The sequence below is a fragment of the Homo sapiens genome, chromosome 7, assembly GCF_000001405.40.
Source record: "Homo sapiens chromosome 7, GRCh38.p14 Primary Assembly".
Lineage (NCBI taxonomy): Eukaryota > Metazoa > Chordata > Mammalia > Primates > Hominidae > Homo > Homo sapiens.
Window position 1 is genome coordinate 28,427,573 of NC_000007.14, and position 12,117 is coordinate 28,439,689.

The following is a 12,117-nucleotide window of genomic DNA, read 5'->3' on the forward strand; positions in this document are numbered from 1 at the left end:
ACTTTATTCCTTCTATCTCTGCCCTTCCTCCTCTCAACACATTGTATTTCCCCACGGTGCCTGTCACAGGGACTTGGGGTCTGCCCTCCTTCTCCAGAGACTGACCTGCCTCCCATGAACTCTGCCCTCCTCCTCACCCCTCCTAGCCAGACTTCGCTCTCCTCTTGCATTTCCAAAGCCTCAATCTTAGTAAGATACTAGGCACTCAATCTATTTCTTTCCTGGGTTTATAATATTATACAAAAGGACTTCCGGAGATGGCTATGTGATAACCCAGCCAAGTGCATCACTAAAGGTGGATCTTTGCTCTTTAGTTAGGACTCTTCCAGGTTCTAAGGATATGGCAGTGAACCAAACAAACAAAATCTCCACATAGATAGGTAAATAACACCTAATATAGTAGTAAGTGCTAAAAAGAAAGATAAAGCCAGGGAAGTGGATCAAGTGTTCTCTTTCATGTTTCAGTTGGAATAGTCCAGGAAGGTGGACTTTCAGATAAGGTGACATATGAGAGGAGAGCCACCAGGGAAGGGAGGAATTCCTATGGAGATGTGGAGAAGGAGCTTTCTAGGTAAGGGGCTGCTTGGTACAAGGGCCCTGCTGTTTTGGATGGTGTGCTTGAGGAACTGCAAGGAAGCAGATGTAGAGACAAGGAGGGAAGCAGTGGGAGCTGCTGGGTGGCTGATCATCCAGGGGCTTTAAACCATGCCATGATCTCTGGATATTAATCTCAGCCAGGTAGGAAGCTATTGGATAGTTTTGGGTAGAGCATCTATCACTTATAAAGCCCTCCATTGTGGTTGGAGGATCGACTGTGTAGGAGCAAGGGTGGCAGCTGGAAGACCCATGAGGAGGCAAGAGACAATGGTGGGCTGGACTGGGTAGGTTCTGGGAAAGGTGGTGAGAAAGAGTTGGATTTTGGCTTATTTTGAAGGTAAACCTAGCAGGACTTGCTGAGGGATTGGCTGTGAAGATAAGTAAGAAGTCAGGGAAGATATTAAGGTATTTGACCTGAGACAAGGATGAAGTTGTCATCGACTGAGATGGGGAAGACGGCAGGTAGAACAGGGTCAGTGTGGGAGACCAGGAGTTCAGTTTTGGGCATGTTGTATGTGAAGAGATGCTGAATCAATGTGAGATGCTGAGAGAGGAATTCAGGGAAGGGGTCTCAGCTGCAGATAGAGTTAGAATCAGGATCATAGTCTTGGGCATCAAATAGGCCAGCCTCATCTCACAGCACACAGCCCTTTCCAGAGTGAGCCCCAGCCACGCTGGGATATCAGGTCCTCACAGGGACCACAGCTTCCTCAGCCTCAGGGCCTTGGCATATGCTGCCCCTTCTGCCTAGACCATCCAAGCTTCCCCGGGTTTCCCAATCTCAATATGTCCTGAACTTTTCCTCCAAGGCACTTAAATCAATTTTATATTCCTTGTGTGATGTTTAGTTTAATTTAAAAAAAAGTTTTTTTTTGAGATGGAATCTCACTCTGCCACCCAGGCTAGGGTACAATGGCACAACCTTGGCTCATTGCAACCTCCCCCTCCCTGGTTCAAGCGATTCTTCCTGCCTCAGCCTCCTGAGTAGCTGGGATTACAGACACTTGCTACCATGACCAGCTAATTTTTGTATTTTTGTAGAGATGGGGTTTCACCATGTTGGCCAGGCTGGTCTCGAACTCCTGACCTCTGGTGATCTGCCTGCCTAGGCCTCCCAAAGTGCTGGGATAATCGGTGCCAGCCACTGTGCCCGTCCTAAAATAATTAAAATCCACATTCCGACCAGAATCTAAAATCTGAAATGTCAGGGATAAAGCATATTTTGTTCATCACCATTTTCTCAGCATCTGGCACATGGCAGACACTTCTTCAATATTTGCTGAAAGAACCAATGACTGTTATTAATGTAATACTTTACACTTGATGCGTCGCACCTCCTTTCCTGGTAAGAGGAAGCATCCTTACTGTTTTTCTTATCTTCTTAATTTAGTGGCTCCACATGCCTTGGGAACAAACGCTTTTTTGATAGGTAATATTTGAGGAGGGACTGGGCTGTGATTGGGGGTGGAATTATTGCTTGACTGAAACTCTGAAAAGAAAAGGAATTTAAGGCTTATATAAACTTCCTAATGAAAATCCCCCATCTCCTGTTTCCTGGTCAGCTACTTTGTTGCATTTCTGTGGACACCTTTATCTAACATCGCCTGAGGTTATTTTATAGTGACCTTTGACAAGGCCTATTACTTTCTAGTTGTGAAGTTTATCAAGGTGCTGGGGGCACAGGGAAGGGTTAGAGGCGTTGTGTCGGGATCTGAGCTGGCTGGCACCTCCTTCGCTGCCTCCAGCCTCATCCTGGGACATGACAGGAAATGATAATGAAAGAAAGAGATCTGATTTACCAGGAAAGGATTGTTAGCTCACAAAAGAGCTCTTGGTCTCTGTCTTTGTCAGCATAGGGCTGTATGTAAAACAGGATTACATGAGGGAATTATATCTCTACTGTCTTTAAAAAAGCTGGAGTAAGCTTTCAGAGGTGCCTGTGTTGTTTGGAAACACACACCCTGGCTCCATGGATACATATTTGTGTATTACACATTACACATGTATGTACAGACATTATTGATCGATCGATGTGTGAATATGTTTGTTGGGGAATTCATGAAAGAGGCCCCATCTTTATAGTTAACATTGCTGTGGGAGGCATCCACTCCACGAATGTGTATCAAGCTGAGCATTTACAGTGCTAAGCGTGGAGCCAGGCACTGGGGAAATGGTGGCCAAGAAGAGAGAGGAAGTCCTTGCTTTCAAGGAACTTTTGAAACCTGATGAGTCTCAATCTCTTCTTCTGTAAGATGGGCATAATAATAAGGCCTACTTCACAGCCTCTTCAAGAGGAGTCGATGGCCATGAATGTGAAAACACCACTTGGATTTTAAAATGCTATGCAAATTATGAGCGGCCGTTATGATTGATGTAGCAAAATATAGCTATTTGGGAATAAATACTGGCTAATTTTTTGTAGTTCTGAATATTCTTTATCCCTATGCAATCTAAGGTTTTACCCTTATAATTTAGGGGGCTCAGTTTTCTTTTGCTAGCATCCTAACAACAACAACAACAAAAATGTCAAGTATGTAACTTAGTTTGGAAACAATTGGATCAGTTAGCTATTGCTGTATGACACATTAGCATCATCCCCCTAACAACATACATTTATTGTCTTAGAGTTTCTGTGGGTCAGGAATCTGGATGTGGTTTCTTTGTGTCTCTGCTCTGGATCTGTCACAAGGCAGTGATCAAGATACCTGCCAGGGCTGTAGTCACCTCAAACCTCAGTGGGGGAAGATCTCCCTCCAGACTCACCTGGTATTGCAGGCCTTAGGTGATCCACACCAAGCTCACTTGTATGGCTGTTGGCTGGCTTCCGATTCTTGCTGGCTGTTGGCCTGAGACATTAGTTCCTTACTACTGGGGGCTTTCCATAGGGGAGCTTACAGTATGACAGCTGGCTTCCCCAGGAGCAAGCAAGGGCTCCAAGGAGGAGAAAGCGAGAGATGGGAGTCTCAGACTTTCTTTGGGTTCAAATCACTGAAGTGACATCCCATCTCATTTGCCATATTCTATTCATTAGAAGCACATCATTGGGTTTAGCCAGTACCTATGGCAAGAAGAAGATGTAAGTTTGTACCAGAGGACGGGTCACTGGAAACATCTCAAAGACTGCCTGCCACAGCAATACATGTAAACAGGACTATGAGTTAATGCTGTATCTATGGCATTCATAATGTCACACTATTTGAAACGAAAGAAATAAAAGAAGTAAGCACCATTGTTCCCCCAAGACAGTTAAGATAGACAAGGAAAATTGGCGTTAAAGCCTCCTAGATTTTGAGTTGCAATCAGTAAACAACCCTGATTTTTTCTTTTGCTTGTGGCACTGGCTCATGCTTGGACATTTACACTCTTTATTTAGCAAGAAAGCATTTGAAAGGTACCTTTCAAATATTGGAGGTAAACAAAGGTCAGTCTTTCCTAAGCAAGAGTAGCAAAATTAAAAATATGTTAATTTTAACTTGCCGGTTCACAGATTGATGTATCCTCCATTCACTTGATTACTTTTTTTGACCCACACCTGAAAACAAAGCTCTTCCAGTCACTTGAAGATGAAGAAAAAGAAAATTTTAGGTACAGAGGCGTTCTGGTGGTATGAGAATGAGCTGTGCCATGGTTTAGAAAAAGGAAAAAGTCCAGTGTGGGCAGAATGTGGTGGACAAGGGGCAAGTGTGACCAGATGAACTCTGGGTTGGGGGCCTGGGTCACTGGAGGTATGGTGAGCAGATAGCTGTTTAGATTTACATCTAAATGCAATGGGGAACATTTGCAGGATTTGAGGTGACTGCAAACAGCTATGCCTTTTTTTTTTTTTTTTTGCTTTTTTTTGGTTGTTGATTCTGATCGAATTAGCTATATTGCAGTGAGCTCTTGCTGAAAGAGATTCTGATGTCTGTTAACCAAAAGCCGTGTTTGGGCAAAGATAAAAACATGCACTGAAACTTTGTAATAGGATGTTATAATTATGCAATGTGTTTTATACGGAGTTGGAGCGTTGTGTGTTTTGCCCAGCCAATGGCAAGGACAATGTGGTAGATGCATCTGGAACAAGGTCCTTGGATCATAGGGATTCCTAGTATTAGTTTCATGTGACAGAACTTACAAGAAATTCATTCAGAAAAACACCCAGTGTAGGAGTCATTTGGCATAATCTGTGCATATTTTCTCAAACAAGCAGCAATCATTTTTCGGTTGTGTCATCTATGGCTGTCGCTCGTACGCAGTTTTGTGGCTCTTTTGCAAGCCGGCAGGCACACAGTGGTCATCTGGGATTTTCAAATGAGAGTGCACCATTTAAAATTAGTGGTCTTGGTAACTTCTCTTTCCTCCAAATTTCCCTTGAAGCTGACCTTGTGAGAAGAACACTCTCCATCTATTTTTCCTGAAAGAGTAACTGGGAAAGGAAAAGTTCTTAAGTCTTAACGCTGGAATTCAACCAATTCTAATCCTAAAATCTTTCTAGTGTGTTCCTGTCCGAGTCAGAAAGGAATAAAGGAATTTTAGATGGCTTGAACAAAAATCGTGAAAAAATGATAGCTATATCTCAAGTTCAGGGATTCCCTCAACTTTCTTCTTTTTAAAATTTAAAGATAAATTTACTGTTTTCTGATTCAAAAATACTCATTGTAGAAAATAAAAAAGAAGAAGAAAATTCTAACCAAAGATGATCACATATGGTGATTTTGATACATATCCTTCATATAATCTATGTCTTCATCCATATCATCTAGCTATATTTCATAGAGTATTTACAGTTTTGTGTTTGAATTTTTTCTACTTATCATTATTTTGTGAACATTTCCCCAAGGTCATGATTTATTTTTTTGAAAATGTGATTTTAATAGCCTTAGAATTTTCTGTTTGTTATAATGTACTTAAGCCATTTTGCTTAATATTGGTTGCATCATCTATTTTGATTTTTTTCCTGGTAATAAATAATATTGTGATAAGCCATCTTGCACATAACCCTTTATCTGCATCTCTTATTTTTCCAAAGGAATTATTCCAACGAGTAGGTGTTGATACATTTTGCTAAACTGCTTTCACAACAGCTTGTACTGATTGCCCCACGAATATCCAGGCTATGCAATAGTGCCTATCACACCTGATTTTCAGCCAAGAGTATTGGGTATTGTAGTCAAAAAGAAATAGTTGCCAGTTGATTAGGTCAAAAATTGTTTTAATTTGCTTTTATTTGATTAAAAGGGGTATTGAACATTATTTCCATTTATTTGCTGGCAATTTATGAATTGTTCATCTTTGTTTCTGCTTTTTGGCCATTTTTCTCTCAGAGTATTAATATTTTGCCTATCAAAATTTACAATTTAAAAATGCTTTTTAAGATAGGGTCTGTCTATGTTGCTCAGTCTAGATTTAAACTCCTGGGCTCAAGGGATCCTCCCACGTCAGCCTCTTGAGTAGCTGGGATTACAGGCATGTGCCGCCACACCCGCCCAAAATTTACATCTTTTTATTCTGGAAAGGAAATGCACCCTTTATCTTTAAAATCTAGAAGCACAAGTATAGCCATATATTTTCAGTGTAAAAAGGGTTTAAAAATTTCTTTTGGTTCTTCATTACTTGTGGTTGATTTATGAGTCTGTGAATATGTGAACACAGTTTACGTTTAGAATCATGCCACTTCTGCTTGCTGTAGCTTCAGTTATAATCTTCCTCATATTTTTTCTGTTTTCCTCTTTCGTCTACTGTAATAAAATTTTTAAAAGATCCAGACTTCTACTTATCTCACTTTACTCAACTCCACTTTTAGATGGCAGCCTGCCAAGGAAACCACAGTCTGAAGAGAATCTCCTATGAGACCTCTAGAGGGTCAGTAGCATCAGTTGAGAGGAAGAGTTCAGGAGAGGAAAGGACGGCTTCTGGTTTATGCCATTTAACTAATGACCTTCCTGATTCCGGCTCAGAGTGAGCAGAATTAGTTAACAAGGGCTTGGGGGCTCAGGAATTCCAGGTATCTGACATTCCACTTGCTGCTTCTGCCTGTGGCCAGAGGCAACTCCTCATCTCAGCTCCATCTCCACCACCTCATTTTACAATGGAGATAATAATACCTCAAAGGTATGCACTAATTAATTATTCTTGGAAAATTCTCTGAAAATGTAATTACTAATTATCATAATGATTCGATTATTAATTTCATTCCTTTTATAGAATTTTAATCGAATGCCAAAATTCAACACCCAGATCCAGTTATTTGTAAACTTTTTTTCTGCCTATTATCTTAGCAGCTTCTTTATAATGATTATTTTACCCCATGCTAGGTGAATTTCTTACAATATAGAAACAACAGTATTTTAAAACTATTTAGAAATTTTGGAGCTCCAAGAAGAGACAATACAGAAAAAAACAAGACAAAATGTTGTATCTCCATAGATTATTGTAACTCAATAATTAAATAGCTAAATATTTGAGGCTGTTGATTTTTAAACCACATTAACTACTTTTTCCTTCAATGTGAGTCATATAGTCTGAGGTGGTTAGTTTACTGGTAAATAATTATATCTAAGACTATTACAGTTTACCTAGATATTCAGCAGGAAAGTCATATGAATACAAATAATTTACAAACGACCTGTGCTGAACCATGGCCCTGGCTTTTATTGTGCAATTCTAAGTTTGGAACTGGGTGTTAATTTATTAAGAATCTTTTCATCAATTCCACAGATTCATAGAATTAATGTGACTGAGTTGACAATAGTTAAAACAATGTGTATTTGGCATTGATGATTTTTCTTGAATGGTGTTGTTTAATGTTATTTAATTTAGCACGTGAATGTCTTATTTTTCTAATTAGATCATACGCACCTTAAGAGTAGGGACTATGTGTTGTAATTCCTCTAAAAGCAGAGGGATTCAATGAACACTGGAATTATCACCTAGGCCACCTGGCTTTTTTTTTTTTTTTTTCCTCCCTCACTCAACCTATAACTAGCTGTGAGTTTTGGACACTTAAGTAACTGCATGCCACCTCAGTTTCCCAATCTATAAACAACGAAATGATACCTTCTGTAATTTACAAGGCTGTTCTGAAGCTCAAATGAAGGGAACTCCCTAGGAGGGGGGTGGATCGTTAAAAGCCTTGTGTGGGCTTGTGAAAATTCAGTGTCATTTGGCAAGGTTGTTTTATATCCAGATGTGTGATTGTCAGTGGGGATGTGCATTTTGACCTTTTCCCTTCCATTTTTTTTTTTTTTTTTTTTTGGTCTGGGAGATTTTGCATACTGATAAGAGCTGAGAGTTGATTTAGCAAAGTTATGATCAGACGTTTCCAGCTCTAGTGGCCTCTAGCTTCTGCTGGGCCGGCCTTAATATGAATGAGGGCCATATAACCAGCCTCTTAAATTTAAGTGTCAGCTGCATCATCTTCATCAGGAGAAACATTTCAAACATTTATTTTCTTTGCAAAAGGCAAGTTTTAGTGGTGGAGTCAATTTATTTCTGAAACGATCTCATTTACCTGAATGAGGAGCTCATATTTATTTTCAGGGTAAGTGGTGGGGTTGTATAATACTCGTGTGACAGATGAACCAAACACTCAGATGTAAATTACATTTGGCTGGAAGAAGATGCTCTGGTATGAAACCACATTTCTGCCATTGCTCACTTGTTCTTCTTGGCTGAGAGCTGGAAGATTGGTGACTCTTGGATTTACCTAGAAAATGAAAAAATATTCTTTACAGAAACCAGAAAGGGGTGAGTAATACCATATACATATATTTATATAAGAGGATTTGAGGAAGCGACCTGGGTGTAACATTTCTCTGTCCAGCAGACTGAAAGTGTCACAGAACATGTCAGAGTGGCTTGTGGCATGATGGTTTATTTTCAAAGACCTTTTGAAAACACCATCAAGCCTTTTTCTTTTGTTTTATTTTAAAGTGGCCTTTCACTGGCTTCATTAATGTGTCACAAAGTGAATTTTTTTTTGTTTCTGTGAGCCATCAGTCTCATAAAAATTAAATGTGTGCATTCCTGCAACCTGATATGCCCTCTCCAGTAAAAATCAATGCCTCTTGCCCTTGTGGCTCAAGCTGCAGAGGTCTTAGTAGCCTGTGTTGTGTACATTTGTGCATATGGCCTTTCCACTTATGTTTTCCAATGTTTCTTAAACATATCTGAGAACTCAGTCACAGCTACAATCTGTTGGTTTGTGTTTAGCCTGTGTGTGTTTGCCCGAAAACAGCAGTGTTGTTCCCTCCCCCGACCATGTTTGCCCTATTAAGTGGGCACAGAACGGGGCCCTCTTACTACTTATCTGTGTATTATTCCTTTGGTTGGGTGGCAAGAAGATCTGAAGAGGATGGATTTTTGGAGGGGTAGAAAAGTTTAAAACCACTAAATTCCTTTTCAGGCTTGAATTATACTACCTTAACTATACCAAGTGCAAAGATTCTGACACTTATGATGGCAAATTATTTACCTGTAATTAGATGCAATTGTCATTTTTTCCTAAACAAGTACAATTTCCAAGGCATTTTTTTTTCTAGAAAATAATCAAATGTTGAATTTTAGCATTAGGTTTGAAATGAGAGTAAAGACTGAGATTCTCTTAAGTTTTGCTTGAACTAATCATTGCCTCTGATAAAGGGGACCAGCCCCACATTTCACACCATTTGATTGTGAGATTTAAGAAAGTGGGATAATGGGATGTGGGGGGAACAGGTTGCATTTACTCTGCTACATAAAATTCTACAGATGGAATTGTGTACTATGCTCTTGAGGTAACTGAAAGGTTGTATTAGAGGCAAATGATGAAAAGCCCCTGGCTCTACTTTCCCCAGGTTTCAAAGGAGAAGAAGCAGCTGAATGTCTTTGGTTTGGTGCAATTCAGTCATGATTTTGTCTCCACTTTGACTGCATCCCTTAGAGAACTCAGCTCACACTCATAAGGTCCCACTCCCAACCGGCAGTGACAGAGATGAGCACCTGTTAAGGGCCATGGCTAAGGACTTCACACTACTGTTTGTGCATGTTGAGAAAATAGATAAGCCAATTAAGTTAATGCCTATTGTAGGCCAGGTACTAAGTCAAATCTTACATTGTCTTATTTAGTAGGTGTTATTATCTCTGTTCTGCTGAGGAAACTGAGGTTTAGAGAAGCTGAGGATTTTACTCAAGATCATGCAGTTATTAAGTTGCAGAGCCAGGATTCACTCTCTGTCATGGGAGCCTCCTTTCTTGGTACTCCGAATCACTCTAGAAACTTGCCAAGAGAGATCACCATTTCATTTTCTTCAGATGAAGCTATCTGTATGGCCCAAATCCCACTGAATCTTAGTTCCATAGATCTTCCTTCTATCATCTTCTACCAGTATTAGATGCTTGTTGGTTCAATCTGTTACCAAATATTTTAGTGAGTGCCTATAAAAACCTAAGTTTAGTGACATTAATTTCAAGAAGTACAATAAAAGCACAGCTAATTTTACCTAACAACAGGAAACTTAAGGTGTAGTTAGTACTATAATCTAAATAAATGGATAGTCCTATAATCTAAATAAATGGAATTAGAACTACAGCTATTATTAGTAATCACATTGTTACCAACTCTATTTAAAGATATGATCCAGTTAACTATAAACAATGCCATATTATCCTACTTCTTAAATGCAGTCACTTGAAGGATTAACATTTTCACTATTCTTTGTATGATGTATTTGGAATTATAGTTCTAAATCTGTTCTGGAACAGAAAAGACGATGGAGACATTTGCGAGATGAAAATCTGATGACTTTCGGGCTCAGGGTGAATTTACAAACACCAGTCATTTATCCCTACATGACATTTTCCAGTTATCCAACCAGGCTTTTCTTCAGGAGCCATTTGTGGTCGGGATGCATCGTGATGCATCATTTATGTAGTGTCTTAAGTGTTTACTGGGCAGAGCATGTGAGAGACAAAGCACAAGAATCCTGCCCAAAGACCTTACTACCTAGGGTCACATTGATTGTTATGTAACAGACTTTCACCCAAGAGTAGATATTGCTTAACTCATTCATTTCTCTAGAGCTAGAGTTTAGGGTTTCCTTTAACATGTAGATGACCTTAACATACTGATTTGTATTTTTACTTACAATAGATATTCACACTGAAGAATATGTTGCATACTCCAAAAACGGGCAGGGTATGAGATGGGAATGAGAGTGTGGACTGAGTTGCTGTCAAAGGGGGGTGTCGGGGCCACTGAGGATGGGCTAGAGATCACTGATCCCCAACTTGACCATATAGGGCCTCTCGGTTTTTCCTTACTTTTATATTTGAAAGATTTTTTTTCTACCTGATAAGTATTGATTAATTCATTTTTCTTTTTAAATTAATGGCATTCATAATTGTCAATCAGAAATTGTGATAAACATGAGATGTCTGATGTTACCATACTGAATCAAAATAATTGCAGCCAACAGTAAAGAAAGTTGCCATTTTACTTGACATGTGAAGCTTTCTTGTGTGTGAATAACTAAATGTTTACATACACGTTAACCTTTTGGAAATACTGAAAATTGAACTGATCTCTGTTATTACATTCACAGACTTCCTAGGAATCCAGAGACCCCCAAGTGGGGAGCAACTGGATTTAGCAATTGCCGTAAGTTCCCATCTGCTTCTAACATTCTGTGATTTGTGAACACAGCATTACAACTAATAAAATCGACCAGTTACAAATGTTGCTTCCAACAGCAAGTTTTGAAATACAGGTCCAACATTTTTGTGGGAAAGGAGCAAACAGAGATACTTCTAAAACTTGGAGAGCAGGGTAAAGACTGGGAATAGCTGCACTTCACTATGTCCCATGATTTTCCTTGGTGAACAACCAAAATTAGTGATGTCCACTCTGTTGTCCTTGACCACAGACAGATCTACTTGTGATTTAAGAAAAACCCCAACCCCAAACCGAACCAAACCAAAACAACAGACCCTTCATGTGATGCTTTATGTCTACATCCTGAATAGACCTTACACCATCCTCTGTATCGTAAGCTCTATACTGCAGGCAGAATGAAAAACCAGACCTGACTATATCAACCCTCTGTTGGTTCTTCACTGCCCATAGGGTAAAATTTAACCTCCTTGGCTTGATGTACAAGGTTTGCATTATATAACTATCATCTGCACCTGATTCCTCTCCATGTATACTTTGTGAACCTGCTAGACTGAATTTTCCATCATCCTTGCAAACTACCAGACCTTTCTTAAATCTCTGCCTTTGCACATGCCATTCTGCTAACTGGAATATTCTCTCTGCTCAATCTTTGTTGGATAAATCCCTATAATAGCCAGTTAAGACAATAGCACTTATTATGTACTAGGCATTCATTTAATCCTTACAATGAGGTGGTTGCCATTATCAGCCCCAGTTTGCAGAGGAGGAACCTGGCCCAGAGATGTTTGGTAGACTTCCCAAGGTCACAGAGCCAATAAATGAGGAAGCTAGGATTTGAACCTGTGCAGTCTATCACTCAGGACCTGTATTCTTAATCTCTGTGCCACACT

At 39.6% G+C, this 12,117-nt stretch overlaps 1 protein-coding gene across 10 annotated transcripts in view; it reads left to right on the forward strand.

The window, feature by feature from the left end:
- CREB5 (cAMP responsive element binding protein 5) overlaps nucleotides 1-12,117 on the forward strand; it is a 526,574-nt gene that overhangs the window by 128,252 nt on the left and 386,205 nt on the right. For 2 of the 10 annotated variants that reach the window (XM_017012806.2, XM_047421068.1), the window contains exon 2: nucleotides 11,157-11,212. The exons of 7 other annotated variants lie outside the window; for them this stretch is intronic. The gene's annotated coding sequence lies outside the window, so the exon portion shown is untranslated. Of the gene's footprint in view, nucleotides 1-8,042; nucleotides 8,117-11,156; nucleotides 11,213-12,117 lie in introns of those variants that run through there. One more of the 10 variants, NM_004904.4, reaches the window with a different exon arrangement.